This window comes from Homo sapiens, chromosome 15, assembly GCF_000001405.40.
Source record: "Homo sapiens chromosome 15, GRCh38.p14 Primary Assembly".
In the NCBI taxonomy this organism is placed as follows: domain Eukaryota; kingdom Metazoa; phylum Chordata; class Mammalia; order Primates; family Hominidae; genus Homo; species Homo sapiens.
The window spans coordinates 33,791,711-33,813,160 of NC_000015.10; the positions used below are offsets into that span (position 1 = coordinate 33,791,711).

General features: G+C 42.2%; 1 protein-coding gene across 19 annotated transcripts in view, besides 1 other annotated feature; it reads left to right on the top strand.

The window, feature by feature from the left end:
- The window catches only part of RYR3 (ryanodine receptor 3), a 555,136-nt gene that overhangs the window by 480,744 nt on the left and 52,942 nt on the right, over positions 1-21,450 (top strand). For 18 of the 19 annotated variants that reach the window (XR_001751370.2, XM_047432931.1, XM_017022468.2 and 15 more), the window contains 5 exons: positions 9,060-9,147; positions 10,159-10,251; positions 18,769-18,939; positions 19,268-19,327; positions 21,153-21,284. Coding sequence is in view for 18 of the 19 variants with exons in the window: in XM_047432931.1 (XP_047288887.1) it covers positions 9,060-9,147; positions 10,159-10,251; positions 18,769-18,939; positions 19,268-19,327; positions 21,153-21,284 (544 nt within the window). In the remaining variant the exon portion in view is untranslated. Of the gene's footprint in view, positions 1-9,059; positions 9,148-10,158; positions 10,252-15,844; positions 15,860-18,768; positions 18,940-19,267; positions 19,328-21,152; positions 21,285-21,450 lie in introns of all 19 variants that reach the window. The other variant, NM_001036.6, reaches the window with a different exon arrangement.
- Positions 6,009-6,178: an enhancer, noted in NCBI's record as "experimental_39317 CRE fragment used in MPRA reporter constructs". NCBI's record gives its function as "activates a minimal promoter by MPRAs in K562 erythroleukemia cells, with activity observed for the introgressed 15:34090005 variant allele {active_cell/tissue: K562}" and the evidence as "EXISTENCE:reporter gene assay evidence [ECO:0000049][PMID:34662402]".

Consider the following 21,450-nt stretch of genomic DNA (forward strand, 5'->3'; position numbering starts at 1 on the left):
TGCATTTAATGAGAGGTGAGGTTTTGCAAAGTGAGTATAACAAAAACAGGCTAGGGAGTTAAGGGTATATGTAAGGAGGTAATTATAAAGATTTACCATGGAATTTAAGCTGGATGAAGAGGAGGACAGAAAATAGAAAGCCTAATGTGCTTGAACAGACAAAGGATCAAAGGATTGTTGGAGAGTGGGTACTAGATAGGAGGAAGGTAGTGGACAGAGAAGTGAAATGCATGGATTTAAGATTAGGGGATTAGGGGAGGTTGCAGTTACTAGTAATGACCATGGGATTGCATACTGAGGCAAGTGGAAAGCAAGAACCCTTAGAGAAGAAATCAACAGACTGAAAGGCCATGGAGCTGGAAAATCATAAACACATATATTGAAGTCACTGAGAATGAAGACTGGTGACATGTTGAGAATATCAGTGAGATATGTGCTAAAAGCATGGATAAAGGAAGGGGAATGGCTCAGATTAGTGGACACCTTGGTATGAGATGAAATTCAAAACTGGAGACTTTCGGAGACACTTCATGGTGTGTGTCTCTGTTCTGATATCTGAGCACCATTTAGAGAGGAGAGGTGGAAAAGAGCACAATATAATGAACTTACCCAAACCTGCTGCTCCCTTCTCTCAAGGCCTCTCCCCCAACCCGAGTCCTTCAGGAGGGGCACCCAGAATCCTCATTCTTTCTCTATCCCTTGCCTTCAGCCCTTCACACTGACTCTGTGCACCTTCCCTTCTCTCCCATCAGTCAGTCCCCTGGGGTGGTGGCCATATGCTGTGCTGGACAGGCTGTGTGTCCCAGTTCACCATCATCGCTTCTATTCTACAGAACTTCAAAGGTTGAAAGTCTCTAATGTCATAATTAGGCAAATTAATTCATGTCATAGGAGAAATTTTTAATGTAATTCACTCTTTCCCCAATGTTCGTTTGGTGCACAAAATTTAGCTGAGTGAAAATAAATAAACAACAATTATATGAGAAATGTGAAGGCTTGTGGGAATGTAAGTCTATAAAATCATAAAGCTATTGATAGGGTGAACACAGACATTTTCATTGTATCTTAGGGTATGACCCTTACCCTATTTGTGGGTTTTGTTGCATTTTTCCCTGTAACCAAATATGTGTCAGTTGTCCAAGTCCATTCTCCAGTTCTCCAACACCAATTGGGTATCCAACAATCCAATTTAATTCTGACAGTAACTACGCAGAGTTAGTGCAGATCCCACAGGTCAATGGCTCAGTTTTGCAAGACTGTTCCTGCCTCAGACACCAGCCACAAATGAGTTGCCTAGGCTGCTCACACTTCTGCCCAGCGAACTGCAAATTCCATGGTTCTCATGACCTGGCTTGATAATTCACTCAGATTTGATAATTCACTGGAATAGCTTATAGAACTCAGGAAAGCGCATTAATAATTACAGGCTTATTAGAAAAGAATCAACTCAGGAACATTCAAATGGAAAAGACGCATAGGGAAATGTATGGGTGTAGGGGAGTGCAGAACCTCTGTGTCCACCCTGGCACACACCACCCTCCCTGCCCATCAATGTGTTTACCAACCTGTAGGCTCCCTGCATCTCATACGAGCTTTTGTGTAAGTTTCATTGATAAATCACTGGCCATTGGTGATTTAGACTGAACTCAATCTTCAGCACCTCCTGTCTCCCCAGAGGTAGGGAGTGAGGCTGAAAGTTCCAACCCTCTTACCATGTGCTTGGTCTTTCTGGTAACCAGGGCCATCCTGAAGCTACCTAGCCCTTCCCCATTCAAGGGTCACTTCATTAGCATAAACCCAGGTATGGTCAAAGGGGCTCGTTATATATAATAAAAAAAACTCCTATTACTCAGGAAATTCCACAAGTTCTAGTAGCTCTGTGCCTGGAAACAGGGGCAAAGACTAATACATATTTTTATTATACCATACCCTTCTAAAGTTTAAGGCCCTAAAATACAAATTTGAAAATGTTTAATTTTAAGGTACCCATTATAGATATTGAAGGGATGCAGGACTATTTGGGGGAACATTGGTAACTTTTTGAGTGGTAACCCATTCTGCCATGGGCAAGAAATGGGCCTAGATATACTCATTTTAGCATTATTTTATAAGGTAAATTGTAGTTACTATTTAAAATAACCTAATTAAGATTACTTATATTTAGCATTCCAATAGAAACACTTTACACACAACACCTTACACACACACACACTCTATATATATACATATATAAATATATATTTATTTATTTATGTAAATGTATATATAAATAAATATATAAATACATATAATACACATAAATATATATTATATATAAATATATACATAAATACATATATATAAATATATACATAAATAAATATATATAAATATATACATAATATATATTATATAAATATAATATACATAAATATATATTTATATATAATATACATAAATATATAATATATAATATATACAAATATACATTATATATAAATATATATTATACACAAATATACATTATATATAAATATATATAAATATATATTTATGTGAAAATGAGTACAATTTCCCATAGATAGGTAAGGAAAGAAAAGATTTTTTATATATATATTTTTATATATATATATTTTTATATATGTTTATATATATAAAAATATATATATATATAAAATCTTTTCTTTCCTTACCTATCTATGGGAAATTGTACTCATTTTCACACACAAAAATCCCTGCTTTTTTGAGGGTCATCATTTTAGTCATTTCCCATATCATAATAACGTTAGCAGTGTAGAGAAGGAAATCGCCAGAGTTTGAAGTGAAAAATAAAAGTAGAGTAAGGTTGCTCCTGGAATAGCTCTTTAATTGCATTTGTCACTATTGACGATCAAGACTCAAGACAGAGTATGTTGTACTTATGCGGTGTTTGACAGTTGCTAAAAATGGCAATGTCAGAGAGTCTTTGAGATCATCATTAATTCATTCATCCCCACTTTTCAATCTGTTCTTCCCAGAGCATTACGGTCATATGAGCTGTGCTGAGAAATACAGGCTTCCAACATGAGTGCCTTTAGTTTCTTCAGGTCCTCTCTTCATCCAAAAAATTAGCTGGCTTTGAATTATGGAATTGTGGCCTTGGCAGGGTTGTTAGAGGTCACCTCATCTTACCTCCCAGTGGATGGAGAAATACCCGTTCCTTTTTCCTATCGTGACTTTCTGCCTCTGGTTATTGGGAAAAGTGGGGAGCAAAAGACAACAGGGACAGCATTGCCATGCATGCAATCCCATTCTGGTTTCAGACCGTTCAAACCATTTGAGCTCAAAGGATAACTCCTACCTATCAGCTCTAATTTTACTCTCCAGAACCACACAAAATTACTCTAATCCCTCTTGTGGCAGCTCTTTAAATATGTAACAGAGCCATCTTGGGCTTTCCTCTTCCCTGGTTTTTCTCATCATATTAAACCTTTGTACTGTTTTCTGCCCTGCCACAGCAGTGTGTAAAGTTTCTTCTGTGTCTGGAATACTCTTCTGAAGAGCGGCTTCTGTTGGTCAGTGTCCAACCTGAAGTTGACCCAGAATAAGCAAGAACCAGCTGTGGTGTGCTCAGTGGGGGACACATAAGTGCTTCGTTTCCGCATGCCAGGAGATAAAAATCAAGAAGTATTAAACAAGTCTTTTTCTTTTCTTTTTTTTTTTTTTTTTTTTTTGTGAGACAGAGTCTCACTCTGTTGCCCAGCCAGCCAGGCTAGAGTGCAGTGGCATGATCTTGGCTCACTGTAACCTCTGCCTCCTGGGTTCAAGCGATTCTCCTGCCTCAGCCTCCCAAGTAGCTGGGATTACACACATGCGCCACTACGCCTGGCTAATTTTGTATTTTTAGTAGAGACAGGGTTTCGCCGTGTTGGTCAGGCTGGTCTTGAAGTCCTGACCTCAGCTGATCCACCCACCTTGGCCTCCCAAAGTGCTGAGATTACAGGTATGCACCACGACGCCTGGCTAATTTTTTTGTATTTTTGGTAGAGACAGGGTTTCACCATGTTGGCCAGGCTGGTCTCGAACTCGTGACCTCAGGTGATCTGCCTGCCTCTGCCTCCCAAAGTGCTGGGATTACAGGCATGAGCCACCGCACCCGACCTAAACAAGTCTCTCTTTCTAAAAGGCAATCGGCTTCTTAGCCTCCTTCCTAGGAGTCAGAAATATTTGGAACTTAGCATTGAACTTTAAATAGTGAGATTTTTGGTGAAAACCTATCTCTCAAACTGTTGAAGGGAGTTAGGGTAAATCCCATGCAGCAACTGCCTCAGGCTTGGTCCTCTAGGGGAGGCTTTGGAACAAAGCTGAAAAAAGCTCTTACCTCCAAAGTTGACACAGGAGCGTGGCTTCCTTTTCTTTCAAAACCTGATCATTTGTCGTTTTTTGTTTTGTTTTGTTTTGTTTTTGTTTTTGTTTTTGTTTTTAGGACAAAGTCTCGCTCTGTCGCCCAGGCTGGAGTGCAGTGGCGCGATCTCTGCTCACTGCAACCTACACCTCCTGGGTTCAAGTGATTCTCCTGCCTCAGCCTCCCGAGTAGCTGGGATTACAGGCATGCGCCACTACGCCCGGCTAATTTTGTATTTTTAGTAGAGACGGGGTTTCACCATGTTGGTCAAGCTGGTCTTGAAGTCCTGACATGAGGCGATTCACCCACCTTGGCCTCCCAAAGTGCTGGGATTACAGGCGTGAGCCACCGCGACCAGCCCCATTTGTCTTTTTGAAAATGGAAGTCTGAATCTCCTTCCTTCTGCCACCCCCCAGGATTCTGTTCTTATGCTTCTTGTTTTTCCTGTGACTGTGCTCAGTTATTTCATCCACTTGGGTTGCTGCTGCTCTTTTGGTTGTTGTTATAAATTTAAGGGTTACAAGTACAGTTTTGTTACATAGGTACATTGTTTAGTGGCAAAGTCTGGACTTTTAGCATGACCATCACCCAATACAACCTCCCTGGAAAACAGTATGGAAATTTCTCAAAGAACTAAAAATAGACCTACTATTCAATCCAGCAATCTCACTGCTAAGCATCTACCCAAAGGAAATGGAATTATTATATCAAGAAGATACTTGCACTCATATGTTTATTGCAGCACTATTCACAACAGCAAAGATATGCCATCAACCCAAGCATCTATCAATGGATGCCTGCATTTTTAAAAAGTGGGATACATATATACACACACAGTGGAATACTCTTTAGTGATTAAAAGGACAAAATCGTGTCTTTTATAGCAACGTGCATGGATTGGAGGCCATTATCTTAAATGAGACAACTCAGAAACAGAAACTCGAATACCACATGTTCTCACTTAGTGGGAGCTAAATAATGTGTCCACATGGACCTAGACTGTAGAATAATAGACATTGGAGATTCGGAAGGGTTGGATGGAGCTGAGGGATGAGAAATTACTTAATGAGGACAATGTGCCTTATTTGAGTGACGTGCCATCTCCTCCATATGGCAGAATCTCTCATGGTTACCTCTAAACCCAACCTTCTTCTCTGCCTACAGCCTTGAGTTTTCCAACTGCCTTTTGGCAGCAAGCACTGCAGATGATAAAAGAGACCCACAGATCAGCTAGGTATCTACAAGAAAATCAAGCGACTAAATATTGACAGAGATGGTGAATCCCATAGGAGACTGGGAGCAAGCAGGAGAAGCACCTTGTTGCATTAATTGGGGGCAGAGAGGGTATGAGCGAATGTGAAAAGCTAGGTGAGGATCTTCCATTCTCCCACAAATACCTTCCTTGACTTGTGTGCCTAGGGGAAAACCTTTAATGAGATGTTTTTCATTGCACTTACCACTCTGAGCTTGAAGAATGAACCTCACTAGAGATAAAGAGCAAATGTCTGCCTCTTAGAAGAGGGGTGGCCAAAGAAAAATATGTTCAGCTGAAACCGCATTCTCACACGAAGGCAACAAGATGAAAATCCTCTTCCTTCTCCCACCAAGAAACGTTACCCAAGATTTTGTTCCTGATGCTCTTGCTACTCACAGTCCCTGTGGCTGTTTTGTTCCTTGGCTAGATAGGATATGATCCTCATCTTTTCCCACTGAAGGCATCTGGAAAACCTATCAAGCTCATTTAAACCAAAACACTAAGGAATGAACAGCTGGTAGTTGTGATAAAATTTGACATTTGACCCTGAAAAATCAATAGGAAAGAAATCAGAAAGCATTGCCAACCTCAAGCCTCAAGTTTGAATTGCATTTGGCTGCTAGTAGTGGAGAATTGGCTATAGTGGCTTAAACAAATGAGAAATTTAGTCTCACACGGAAAAGAAGTCCAAAGATAGTTGAGCTAGGGCCAGTATTGTTCCTCGTTAGAAAGCCTCATGCCTTTGTCTGTCTGTCTTTTATTTATTTATTTTTTTTGAGATGGAGTCTTGCTCTGTGGCCCAGGCTGGAATGCAATGGCACAATCTCGGTGCTCACTGCAACCTCCGCCTCCCAGGCTCAAGCGGTTCTCCTGCCTCAGCCTCCCAAGTAGCTGGGATTATAGGTGCCCACCACCATGCAAAGCTAATTTTTGTATTTTTTTAGTAGACACAGGGTTTCACCACATTGGCCAGGCTGGTCTCAAACTCCTGACCTCAAGTGATCCACCTGTCTCGGCCTCCCAAAGTGCTGGGATTACAGGTGTGAGCCACCATGCCCAGCCTCATTCCTTTGTCTTTATATTCTCAACATTGCCTTCCATCTTTGAAGTTACTTTATGATATAATAAGCCAATTAGAGTTCCAGCCATCATATTTTCATTCCAGACAGGAAGTAGGAAATCAGCAGGAGAAAGGCAAAAAGACACCTTCAGCTATCTGATCCCTTCTTAGAGGTTTATTTCCAGGAGGCCCATCCAACAACTTCTACATTCATCTTATTGATCAGAACTTAGTTACATAGCTATAGTTAAAGGGAAGCTGGGTAATGTGATCTTTAGCAGGGCATAGTTCCACCCTGAACAAAATGGGGTTTGTTACTATGGAAGAAGAGGAGAATGAATATTGAGTAGACAACCAGTAATGTCAGCTATATGAAGGAGAGGCTGCTTGAATCTGAAAACGAGAGATTAGATAAGAATGTCCCTGAGACTGGAACCAAGGGCAGTAAGGAATTCAGGAGATAAGAGAAGGATCCCAAAGTGATCTTGGCCTCATGAGTCTCTACATTTCTTAGCCTGGTGCTCCTCATGAATGGGTAGGAGGTACAGGCTACCCACAACAATTCATTCTGATGTCCTAGGGCTTAGGGAACTGGCTTTTGGTAGCTGTTACCCTACATGAGGCAAGAGGCATCAGGTTTTTTAGACCATTTTGAGACGCATTTTTTTTTAACTAAAGGAAGACAATAGTTTAACTTGTGTCACTGTGATATTTCGATATAATAAATATGTATTTGCTCTTCATCTCTGCTTCCTGGCACAGAGCTCCCAAAACTCATAGAATTTCCTGAGGGAAAGGGATGAAAGGAACATCTTCTGTTATTCATAATAAGCCCCTTTCAACCATACCTGAGTTTATTCTAATGAGGTGACTCTTGGAGAATGGAGACTGGTTGCCAGATGTACCAACTCTGCAATTAGAGGGTTGGGACTTTCAGCCCCACCACCATTTACCCTCCCCTAACCTCTGGGGAGAGGAGAGGGGCTGGATATTGAGTTTAATAACCAATGGCCAGGGGTTTCACCAATCATGCCTATATAATGGAGCCACCACAAAAAAACCCTAAGCTATGGGGTTTGGAGACGTCCATGTTGCTGAACACACAAAGGTACTGGGAAGGTGGTGTGCCTGGAGAAGGCATGGAAACTCCCTGCCTCTTCCCCCATACCTTGCCCTATGCATCTCTTTCATTTGGCTATTCCTTGGTTGTGTCCTTTATAATAAACTGGTAATAGTAAATCAAGTATTTTCCTGAGTTCTGTGAGCTGCTCTAGCAAATTATTGAACCCAATGAAGGGGTTGGTTATAGCCAGTTGGTCAGAAGTACAGGTCACAACCTGGGACTTGAGACCGGCATCTGAAGTGAGGGGCAGGCTTGTGGGTCTGAGCCCTTAACCTGTGGGGACTGCACTAAATCCAGGTAGTTAGTGTCATATTTGAATTGTAGGACATTCAGTCAGTGTCTGAAGAGTTGAAGAATTGTTTTATGTGAGAAAAACCCCACATTTGATATCAGAAGCGTTGAGCAGAGAAACAGTGGGGGTTTTTTGTTTGTTTGTTTAGTTACTCTATGTAGACATTTGAAAATGGCAACTCACCCAGCCCTTGGAAATATAATTTAATTTGAATATGTAAGCTACTTCACGGCAAGACAGCTTAGAGAAACGACTGAATTCCTGAAACTGCAGTTCAACCTTCTTGGTGCTACTGCAAAATTTCTTAACCAGTCTATTTTTTTGTTTTATGAGTAATGCTTATTTGTAGGGAATCTTCAAACCATTTTAGAGGGCATAGATGAAGATAATTGATCTCTGCTTATACACTTCAAATCACAGCGAAAAACATATTATCTTACAAATTTCATTGATAAAACTGGCTTTAAAGGAAAAGGGGTGGGACATGAACTGTTGAGAGTGCTCAGAATTTCAGAGGTTTGACAATGACAAGTGTCCAGGACCAGGTTAGATGTCTTAGTGACCAAGACTTGCCTACCTTTGCTAGCCTTATATATTAAAGGAAGCATGTCCCAAAACTTAGAGCTTAACCTTAATCAACTAATCAGTTTAAAGAAAAAACATAACCTACTTTTGACCATTTTGAAATGTCGATTTCTGACATCAGTTTGCTAAGGCAATTCTTGAATCCTTTGGCAAATGGAAATAATTACTGTAGATCTTTCAAGAAATCTACTCTAATTATGTACCTATATCTGAATGTTTAAGGAATATATTGCTATTTAGTCTCCCTGATTATTGCTTTCATATGAGAATGCAGTTTGATCTGGATAAATGTATGTCTCCAGTGCTGGTATAATTTTTAGAGTGTGAATATTTTAATCTCTACTGAATTTCAAATGCCTGTTTATTTACTTTTGGACCCAGATCTAACTGGCTGAAAAGTCCTGATGCTGATTCTGACCAGCTCTTCCGCATGGTGGCAGAAGTCTTCATTCTGTGGTGTAAATCTCATGTAAGAACACATTTGGGCCCTGGGTTTAGAATGGTTGTGAAAGCTGCAGACCGTGGAAAACTGTTGATGAAAAAAAGCCAACAGTAAAATATTCGAAGAAATGTATTCTGAGCCACATGTGAGGACCACGACCCATGACACTGCCTCAGGAGGTCCTGAGAACATGTGCCCAAGGTGGTTGGGTTACAGCTTGACTTTATACACTTCAGTGGGACAGAAGTTACTGACAGAGGCATAAATCAATACATGTAAAGTATACCTTGGTTTAGCCCAGAAAGGCAGGACATCTTACAGGGGTAGGTAGTGGGCGTCCAGGTCATAGGTGGATTCAAAGATTTTCTGACTGACAGTTGTCAATCAGAAAGAGTTATTATCTAAAAACCTGGAATCAATAGAAACGGTGTCTGAGTTAAGACAAAGGATTGTCAGACCAACATTCTTATTATGCAGATGAAGTCTCATATGTGGCCACCCATAGAGACAACAGGTGACAAATGTTTCATATTTAGACATTTAAAAGGTGCTAGACTCTCATTTAATCTCTTCAAGATCAGGAAAAGACCAGGAAAGGGAAGGGGATTCTCTACAGAATGTGAATTTTCCCCACAGCAGAGACAGCTTTGCAGGGCCCTTTCAAAATAATGTCAAATAAATACATTTTGGGGTCAAATATTTTTATTTCCTTCCAGGCCTGCTGTCTGTCATGTGATGCTATACTAGAGTCAGGTTGGAATTTGGTGTCTTATTACTACCAAGAGTCTATTTTGTCTTAAGATCTCTATTTTAATGTTGATGCTGGTCATATGTGCCTAAACTCTAAAAGGGAGAGGGTATAATGAGACATGCCTGACCCCCTCTTCCCATAATGGAATGAATTAGTTTTTCACGTGTCTTTGGAATCACCTCGGCTGAGAGGAGGGGTCTATTCCGTTACTTGGGGAGCTTAGAATCTTATTTTTGGTTTACAGAACTTTCTTGTAATGTTTGCTGTTTCAATTCTTTCCCACTTAGAACTTCAAGAGAGAAGAGCAAAATTTTGTGATTCAGAATGAAATTAATAATTTGGCATTTTTAACTGGAGACAGCAAAAGCAAGATGTCAAAAGTAAGTCCTTAGAAATCAATTCCAAAAACTCTTCAACCCTAACCTCAGCCATGACTTGGATCTGTTTCATACTTTCTGGGGATTAACACCGTACTGCATTTAGGTCAAACTACATGACCAACAGTCTCTGCTGCTGTTTCTTTGAGAACGAGCCAGAAGAAACTGCTCTCAAATAAGCATGGTCATCACATTTTATGAATAAATAGCTGCTTGTATGTCAAAAAGCTTAAGTTTCAAGACTTGCCTAAGGCATTTGAGAGGTCTCCAAAACAAAAGCTGCTGTTAGTGATTTTAAAATAGAACTTCTTCCTGTGTAGTGAGGATACAGCAATACACATGCCTAGAACCACCTTTTGATAGCTAGGAAAAAATTACCTTGCTTTGTAGATTTTGACAGCACGTACTCTTACATCATGCTTGTTTTCCTCCTATCTGTAATATCCAATACCTGTTTTATTTCAGCTGTGTTGATCTCTTAATGCCCTCTGTTTCTTTTTCATGATAGTTGCACTCAGAAAGCCAAACATTTGTCCATTTCCTTTAGGAAATGTTTGAAAAGGCATATCGGACATCTGTCTGAAGAAAGACTAACCTATAGAGAGGAGCATAGCAGGAATACAAGGGGCACAAGTTAGCCTCCCACCTCCTCTTGCGTCGGCTCTGCACGCTGAGGCTTCATTATTTTGATTTAAGAGACTTCTCAGACGTACTCCTTCAAGTGTACATACAAAAGCAAAGCCTACTTAAATGTGATGTTTTGTTACCAGCTGTTATGACTTACCTTGACTCTGTACCCCTGAGAAATGTGCCTCAGTGAGGGTTGATTTTATATGTCAAGTATAAGTGACATTAATACCTGAGATGTGCATCTCTCTCATTGCTGGTACAGTGCTGCCTTTGAGGAGCATCAGGGTGGAGTGTGCATGGGGACCCTCAGAAGTAAAAGTCAGCTCTGGAAAGATGAGAATCATGGGTTTGTAACAAAGCCCTTGGGCATCTTTCCAAATAACCATTTGGGATGGAGGTCTCATATATAAGCTGCAGACAAGGGGCTGGTATGACACCAAAAGCGAAAACTTTAGCATCTGGAGCTCCACCAAGCATAGCTAGCTCTAGTCAGCTGCGATCATTCTGAGCTTTCTGTTGCTTTTATTTATGTTGACACATTTCTTCCAACATATAGAAATTGACTGTTAGAGTTTATAGTATACTCTAAGTATACACTTTTAGTATGCATTGCTTGATAAAGTTTGACAAACAAAATTACGTACATACAAAGTAGAGCAATCACATTCATGAGGAATCTTTGCTGCAAAGGTATCCTTTGTGCTTTAGTTTTATTTGATTTTTCAGAATTCATTTTGCATTTGTCTTTTGGTAAACACATCTACTGTCATATGATGTAGACGAGGTTGAGTTTTTTCAAATCCACCTTTCGGGGACAGCTAGCTTATCTTAAGTTGCCTCTGCAGGTCTTCTTACAGGTATCACAGCCTCTTCTTTGACTCATCTACCTGCAGAAAGTCAATAAATCCCAGACAGATTCCATACTATCTTTTTTTTTTAATTTTTTGAGATGGAGTCTCACTCTGTTGCCCAGCTGGAGTGCAGTGGCATGATCTCGGCTCTCTGTGAGCTCTGCCTCCCAGATTCAAGCAATTCTTCTGCCTCAGCCTCCCAAAAGCTGGAGCTACAGGCGCACGCCACCACACCTGGCTAATTTTTGTATTTTTAGTAGAGATGGAGTTTCGCCATGTTGGCCAGGCTGGTCTCGAACTCCTGACCTCAAGTGATCCACCCACCTCATCCTCCCAGAGTGCAGGGATTACAGGCGTGAGCCACAGCTCCCGGCCTTATCTTCAAATTGGGGTAGATTCAATGGCTTAGGACTGAACCAGCTAGCATCCATTGGGATTGTCAGGGAACAATCACAAAGCAATGGAAATGAATCTGATACCAGGACTTGGATCCTGGATGAGCAGAAATGGCAAAGACATCTCAAGCCTCTGGTAATGAATGAATGCTCAAGGTCCTTGGGTTTACATTTGGACAAAGATGAGGTAGCAGAAAATGGCATTTCAAAACCCACCTACTAACAAACTAACCTGACATTTTGTTCATTCACATCACTGAATGAGGAAAAGCGGGTGTTTGTTTCTTGACAAAGGATGGTCATTTTCAGAAAGTGGTCTTCTTCCTTGCTGGTCCGGTTAGTCTGTAGAAGCAAAGTCTTTTGTTTCATTTCTGTTGTTGTCATATGCCAAGTATTTCTGAGCCACATGGGATAGGGTCAAAATTACAACTTAACGAATGGATGAGAGGACACTCCCTAGATGTTGAATAATAGTTGCCATGGTCCTCAGGGTAACAAGAGTTCATATTGTTCTGTTGCCTGAGTTAAGACACTGTGTAGTGGTAAATAGACCAGAAGGCGAAAGGAAGCTAAGTCTTGCCCCTGGCCCAGCTGTTGGCTAAAGCTACACCTTGCATCATTCACTTAACTCCTCTGGGTCCCATTTACCAATCTGCAGAATGGGATTGAGCTTACTTCCTGACTTCTCCCAGCTCTACTAAGATGTTCTGGTTTAAGGTCAGTTTCAACAGTATCTCTAGGATAGAGTAATATTTGAGAAATACAGTGCATTATTTCAGACAAAAAGATACCATGCCTCCGATAAGAAATATCTCCTAGCCATTTCTGGTATTTTTTGGATGTGGAACTACATACTGAGGGGTTAGGGCAGGAGTATTCTTCCTTATCAGTTGACTCCCTATTGCCTTTGCCTCCCTGCAATTAGATGTTCTCTCTACTACCTGATCTGAACAGTGACCTGTACTTGCTTTTATCTCCACTCTTAACTGAATTCTGGTGTTGTAAAAATGAAGTTAGCCTCAGTGCATATGGCAGGCTTTGTGGAGGTATGTGTATATGAATGCCCTATGCCACACACACCACATATGCCGTTGCGAATGGAAAGGAAGTGGAGAAAATATACAGTGAGCCACGCTGTTACTACTTGATTAGTTGAAGGTCAGTTCAAAGATAACGCTATTTTTCTGGGGCAGTCAAAGCAGATTTTGCTTGTGAGAGCTCATTGTATATTTTGTGTATATAACACCAGTTTGCAAATGTATGTTAAGCTAAATGTAACTAAGCTGAGCAAGTGTTTTTTGTTTTGAAACTTTTTTTGTTTCTGGAAAAATGACAGCAGCTTCCTCAGAAGGGAATGGTAAGTTAGAATGTGTTCAGCCCAAGAAATGCCAGTTCCTTGACCAAGGTTATAAACAATAAAATCAAAAAAGTGTCGTGATGCAGGAAATATTAGAGTGCCTCATTGTTCAAAGCCACTCCACCCCATGAAGTGTGATTTCAGTGGATCGAAAAAGGACAGGAAATATTTTTGAAGCTATCTTTGAGTTTTTCAAGGGCATTCACACTTACACGTGTGAGTGAATTTTCTTGCTCATTCTCCCTCTTTCATTCCCTCCCCTACCACTTTTCTCTCTCTTTTTTTTTTTTTTTTCTTCTTCTTTGAGACGGAGTCCTGCTCTGTCGCCCAGGCTGGAGTACAGTGGTGCGATCTCGGCTCACTGCAAGCTCCGCCTCCCTGGTTCACACCATTCTCCTGCCTCAGCCTCCCAAGTAGCTGGGACTACAGGTGCCCGCCACCACGCCCGGCTAATTTTTTGTATTTTTAGTAGAGACAGGGTTTCACTGTGTTAGCCAGGATGGTCTCGATCTCCTGACGTCATGATCCGCCCGCCTCGGCCTCCCAAAGTGCTGGGATTACAGGCTTGAGCCACCACACCCGGCCTTCTCTTTTGTTTTTATTCCCTTTGTTCTTGCACTTCTGCTGTTTACTCACAGGCATGTGTGCATACTCTGTCTCTCTCTCTCATAAATGTGCACACGGGAACGCACACTCATCCTCTTCTTCTCCTCTCCCCCTCCCCTTTCACCCTCCCCTTTTCTCCTCCCTTCCCCTCCCTTCTCTCCACCTCTGCCTCTGTCCACCATTTCTTCCTTCCCTCCTGCCCTCCTTCTCTCACTCTATCTCTTGCTTCGCATTCTCAGACCGACTTACAGAAAGTCTTCTGTTTTTTCTCTGTCTAATGTTGGGTTGACTTGTCATTGCTTCGGTTACCTTCTCAGTGGGACAAGAGCTTCCCATGGCCCGGGCTTGCCTTTGTCCAGAAGTCTGACACCAGCTCTCCCTGTGCTGTCCCCTTGTGATGTGTCCTCAAAGTCACTCACCCCACAAAAGCCTGTGTCTGTCTTTTAAGTTCTACACACAAAATCAACTGTCTAATCATTATAAGATAACCACTGGTGATAGTTTATGATGTAAGCGTGGGGAGATGCAATGATTTTGAAGGTATAAGAATCTGTACATTTCTATTAAGAAAATAAAACATGGGCCAGTGTCGTGCCTGTAATCCCAGTACTTTAGGAAGCTAAGGAGGGAGGATCACTTGAGGCCGAGAGTTCAATACGAGCCTGGGCAACATAGCGAAACCCTGTCTCTTAAGAAAAAAAAAAAGGAAGAAAACGCAAGAAAATAAAACGTTTCCACCACCAAATTTTTAAAAGCATTTCATTAGAAAATTGCAGTGAGTTAACTAATCTTAGCAATATGTGACAGAACAAATAAAACTAGAATCTGTAGCCCCAACCTAAGGCATGTTTAAAGGTTGTAGCACAAGAAGGGAAACGCTCCATCTTTTAGGTTTTTTGGTGATTCTGAATCACTTTGGATATTCCTAGAGTACTTTTTGTTAATAAATCTTCTTTTTTCCTTTTTTTTTTTTTAAGACAGGGTGTCCCTCTGTTGCCCAGTCTGGAGTGCACTGGTGTGATCATAGCTCACTGCAGCCTTGAACTCTTGAGCTCAAGCGATCCTCCTGCCTCAGCATCCCTAGTAGCTGGGACTATAACACACAACCCCACACCCAGCTGAATTTTTTTTTTTTTTTGTAAAGACAGTGGCTATGTTGCTCAGGCTGGTCTCAAATTCCTAGCTTCAAGTGATCTTGCCACCTCGGCCTCCCAAAGTGCTGGGATGACAGGCATGAGCCACTGTGGCCTACGCTACCTTCTTTTAACATAAGCACAAGCATTGCCCCTTAGGTCAGTTCTCCCCTCTCTGTAGCCACAGATGTTGCTAATGTGGTGGGTAGAAGGAAGAAAGAAAACTCTGCTCTTTGGTTATACAACAGATTGTCTATAGCCCACCCAGGTGAAAGGAGGGAGGTAGAAGGGGCAAAGACTTCAGTTCTGGCCACCCACAAGAACTCTCTAGATCTAAAGACCAGCCTGGGTCGGGTCTGAGTGCCACACACTCTAGAAGGCTGCTTCTGGGTTGATTGTTTGGTCTGGGTATAAGTCCTTTGACCAAATTAACTTCCATCCTAACCTCCCACTCACTCTTCATGCTATGCTCAACTGGCTTCCAGAACCATTGAGTTTCTGTTGTGTTGGCTGAGAAATGGGGGCTAAGAAGCTATAACTAACATATGGTGCCTTTTGCCTTAGAGCCCTGCTTTTACTGACTGACTCTTCTCCTTGTTTCTTTTCTTTTGTCTTTCCACACAGGCCATGCAAGTAAAGGTACAGGTCAAATGCATGACGTGTCTTTTCTGTCCTAGTATTAGAGGTGCCGGGCTCTGGCCCCCTCTGCACTGTGATCACCATGGGGGTGGTAGAGAATGGATTTTCCCGCCTGGAGGTCCCCCAGGCCTGCTCCAGGGAAGACAACTGCCTGTCAAAGAGTGAATGTAGGCCTACCCACCCTTGGAATGGGGAAGCCGGGGAAGCCAGCCAAGCCTCACCCTAACCGAGGTCTCCTTGCTATCTCTGCTCCCTTCTCCAGCTGCCCTCTCGGCAGCCACCACACTAACAGAGATAGGGATGACTGACAGGGCTTGAGAACCCAGGGGACTACTCCTCGTGGTGCTACCCAGGGTCAGAGTCCTATTTTTTATTAGTGGTCTCAGCCCTTTCACACTGTAGGTGTCCTGCATCCTGTATAAGGCTCCCATGATTCAAAGAGAGTCTTCCAAAGCCTACCCTGGGAGAATTTCCCAGTTACAGTTTCAGGTTATAACTGAACATTTTCTCTTCCTCTTAATTAATGTGTGTCGGCTGCCATTCTCCCAAACCTCTGCTCTACACTATGCAGTGAAGAAGGGGAGATGTGGAGGAACTAGGGCACACGCAGCTCTTAGTTAGGAAAGGAAGATGGAGCCCAGGCGAGATAGACTTGCATCTGGTTAGCTCAGAGGCTTACTTGCTATGTGATCTTGGAAAAATTGCTTAACTTCCCTGAGCAATCCCATTCTCATTTACAAAACTGACTGGTTTCAGGGGTTTTGGGAGGATCATAAATGTTTTATATAAGTAGCAGGCACATTGGAGTCATATTGCATATGCAGCATTTATGATTAGAAGGACATGAGATTGGCCCAATCAAATAGAGAGTGAGCAGGAAATAATTTAGATTGTGTAATCAAATCCACGTAATTACACTTTTGAGCATATTTATTCGATTGCATACTGTGTATTACCATTTATATTTTACATGTATACATACGTGATATCACATAGTTTATATACATATAACCAGGTTCTATGTTTTATGGATGATTTGAAACATTTTCAAGGGTAATTTCGACTATAAATGAGTTTTGCCCTGAGTCGCAACCTTTAGAATTTTAAACCTGGTGGTAGAATGGTGAGGAGCCCAGCAAGCACTCAGCCAGTGATAGTTGGCACACGCTCAGTCTGTGTGTGAAGCAGCTTTCCCTTCCTGCTGTTTTCTGGAACACCAGGAGGCTCCTTCTCTTAGCCCCATTTCTTTCCCTCTGTTTATATTTCTTACTGCCCCTCCCACTGCTGTCCAAGGGCTGACTGGTGTTTTGGAGCACTGGACGCAAGATACCCCTGCAACAATAGAATTTTCTGGCAATGTTTGGCCAGACTAGGGTTCTGCTGGCCAGGGATTTTGCTGTGGTTTCTGTGATACTGTGATGCAACCACCTGAAATTGCAGCCGCCACAAGTGCTGAAAGAAATTACACTGTTCTTAAGAGTGTCCATTAATAATTATGAAACTCTTTCGCCTTTTGGAAAGCAATTTAAAGAGATTAGTCCCAAGACACTGTTAATTCTGACCCTACTCTTCTCTTCCAAAAGCCTTTTCCCATAAAATGAATTCTGCCCAAGCCCAGGAGGACCAGATCTTGCGTGCCACTTCCAGGGGAGGCATCTGGCGTGCTTCCAGAGCCCTGTATCTGTATGTCATGATAAACCACAGTGCTGTCCCCTCATTGCTGCAAACACTCCATGGTACCTCATAGCGTAAAGCTTTGGTGAGCACCGCTTCTTTCCCAGAGTCCCTGACTTGATTCTGGCTACCCAGCCCTCCCCACTTCCAGCAAGTGCCCACTGAGGCCCAGTCCTGCAAGCACGTACCACGTGAGCAGCTCTGTGTCTCTGGAACCTGGAATCATGAAATCTGAGTCACCGCCTTGTTTCCTTGAGCCCACCTGGACCCACCAAGTGATTTCCCTGTGCCGTGGATGCTGAGGGTTCTCAGTGGGTTCCCTGGGGCTGCTATTGTGTCATAGCCCAGTGCATTGGATTCCTCTCTCTCTTTTTTTTTTTTTTTTTTAATGTTTTGTTGTTGTTGTTGTTGAGGCCGAGTCTTGCTCTGTCACCCACGCTGTAGTGCCATGGCGTGATCTCGGCTCGCTGCAACCTCTGTCTCATGGGTTCAAGCGATTGTCCTGCCTCAGCCTCCCAAGTAGCTGGGATTACAGGCATGCGCCACCGCACCTGGCCTGGATTCCTCTCTTAAACCTGCAACTTCACTGAGTGAACTCTCTCTGAAAAGGATGAGAAGGTATAAGTCAAAGATGGGTATGAGCTTCCATGGACTGAGGAGTTCCTTTCTTTCATGTCTTCAGTTTTTCTCCTAACTTTCCTTCAGCTGGATTCCAAAGCAGCCCTGCTTTAGATTTTCCTTTTCCTGTAAGAATTTGCATTGGCTCATGGTCGGGAGGCCATGGTGAGGTGTTCCAAAACACCAGCTTCAGCTTTGAAAACACAGAGCAATTATTCTGTGCTGGATACTCTTTCATATTTTTAGTGATCCCCCAGCATCAGAATTCTCAGAACTTTTCTGGGGCCATTTTTGTCAGTTAACAAATCATTCTTTTTGTAGAACACCAGTTTACTTGTTCAGTCCGGAACTGAGTGAGCAATAGGCGTCGGTGATGTGTGTTTAGTTATGTGGCTCTGTGTGCATGCGCAGAAGGAGAAGGCTCAGGGTTATGGCTGGTCTTTGATGGCTACCTAATTCGTCTTTGTTCAACACACTCTTTTCACTGTCCTTTGAAGTGTAGTAAGGCCCACCCTATACTGACAGGGCCACAAGGAGGCAGGCTGCCTCTGACAGGAGGCCGTTCCTTTGGGAGAATCACTGAACCCCTCTCTGTTTATTTCAACATCATCTCCTAGTCTGGAGGACAAGACCAGGAGCGGAAGAAGACAAAGCGGCGGGGAGACTTGTATTCCATCCAGACCTCCCTCATCGTGGCTGCACTCAAGAAAATGCTGCCCATTGGTTTGAATATGTGTACTCCAGGCGACCAGGAGCTGATCTCCCTCGCAAAATCGCGATACAGCCATGTAAGCTGCCCGTCTGCCTGGGCTGAGTGTGTGATCCACATGGTGCAGTGATAAGCATTCAGCCCCTGAAGGGTTAGTCCTCCTCCCCTGGGGGGCGGGGAGCAGATGCGCAGAAACCAGTGTGTATGGAGGCAACACGCCCTCATCTTTAAAACTGGTTTGGAAGTCCGTGTGTGCCCTTTGGGACAAATCTCCGGAATATTTTTTCTTTTGTTCTTCTGATAAAGATCCCAGTGAAACTGTGCGTTGACTCTCCATACATCCCCATATGCTACTTGACAGTTCCATGGTGATCTCCGGGAATAAAATCTGACATCTCTTTCCACAGAGGGACACAGATGAAGAGGTCAGAGAACATCTGCGGAACAACTTGCACTTGCAGGAAAAGGTGATGACTCAGGACAGCAGTGAGAACTCACACCGGCTTTCCTTCTGGCTGCAGGGTTCCAGCTTTTCACTTCATTTACTCATGCTTCTTATATGTGTTCCAAAAACAGTTTGGGGGTATTTGTGTTTAATTGGTAGGACTAGCTCTCTCTTTTTTAAATTTTTTTTTAAAAATTTACTGGTACATGGCTGGGCGCGGTGGCTCACACCTGTAATCCCAGCACTTTGGGAGGCCGAGGTGGGCGGATCACGAGGTCAGGAGATTGAGACCATCCTGGCTAACACGGTGAAACCCCGTCTGTACTAAAAATACAAAAAGTTAGCCGGGCGTGGTGGCGGGCGCCTGTAGTCTCAGCTACTTGGGAGGCTGAGGCAGAGGCAGGAGAATGGTGTGAACCTGGGAGACGGAGGTTGTGGTGAGCCGAGATCAGGCCACTGCACTCCAGCCTGGGTAACAGAGCAAGACTCCGTCTCAAAAAAAAAAAAAAGTACTGGTACATAAACTGCCCTTAATGTATGTTTGTTTGTTTGTTTGTTTGTTTGTTTTTGCCCTTAATTTTTGTTCTTAGTTATTACAAAGAGGATTACAAAGAGGATACCCAATAAAGCATCTATTCCCATTTCCCATTATGTGAACGTCAGGCCATAGCAGTGGCGTGTAGCTTAGGTGTCAGAATTTACTGACTGTAAGTCTTGTTAAACAGTGCAGTGGACACCTGGGGGAAGTTTTAGCACTTCCTGCTCTAAAGAGATTTTGAAACAAAATAATTTTGTTTCTAGTTGGTACAATAAAAAAATATAATTTTCATGATAAAGGCTATTTGAGATGTTTTAAAGCCTGTGAATCTGAACAACTCTTACCTCAGATACATTATGCCCTGAGATGGAGAACTAAGCCAACACACAAAGTCTTTCCTTTCCGCCCCAAACATATAGGAATGGTGGATAAAATATACTAGGAAAAAAAAGGCAATAAAAAGAAATCTCTAGGGCCAGAAAAAAAATCTTAGGGGCTTGGTTTTTTAATCATTGTAAAGGAAGAGGAGTGTGGGACCTAATTACCCACACTATGCATAAATACAGAGCAAGAAACTTCCATAAAGTTAGCCTTGAACCAGTAAAACCCACAAATATTCCACAGAGAAACCCAAGTGGAATAACCACTTGGAGAGCCTCCACCTTCTAAAATACAAGCTGAGATACCAATAGGTAAAATTCCTCCTGAAGACAAGCTCATATTTTTTTTTGATTACAAAGCACATCAGGAAATCTACTAGTAGAGAGTCAGCATAGGAAACAAAGAGAATAATTCAACCATAAGGAGCAATTGAAAGAGATGTAAATGTAAATAAAATTAAAACATTTAAAGAGATATAAAGGAATTAATCGAACCCATAAAGCAATAATTGGATGTTATATTTTTAAAAAGAAGGGGAGATGGGTTTGAAAAAAGACTTCATAGTCATTATAAAAATAAAAAATAATCATTGAAATTAAAAACCTAATAAATGGGTTAAAAATAGGCTACACATAGCTGAAACAATAATTTATAAATTAGAAGAGTGCTTTAAGGAAATCATCCAAAATGCAACACAGAGAGATGACGAGATAGAAAATATGACAGAAGCATTAAGAGACATAGGAGTTAGAATGAGAAGTTCCTATACAGTATCTACAGTGTTCCAGAAGATAATTGAGAAAATGAAAGTGAAGTGATAATAGAAGGAGAGTCTTGACTCCTACAGAACCATGGTAGGACCAAAAGGCTTCTTCAGTATAAGAAGTACAGGAAATTCCTCATCTTATGAGTATGCTTCAATTTTCAGTCTGATGACCCAGCTGTAAAATGGCAACTGAACCTCTACAAGGATGTTCTGAAGAGTGAAGAACCTTTCAATCCGGAAAAGACAGTGGAGCGTGTGCAGAGAATTTCAGCAGCTGTCTTCCACCTGGAACAGGTAAGGAGCATCTGCCCTGAGGAATGGGGAAGCAGAAACACCCTGGACCATACAAAGCTCCCCTCCACACTCAGCATTCAGGTACAAGTGCCCTCATAAGACTGAGAAAACAAGGACCAAGGATCATCCCAGATCACCCCCACGTGCCATCTCGATGCCCTGTGAT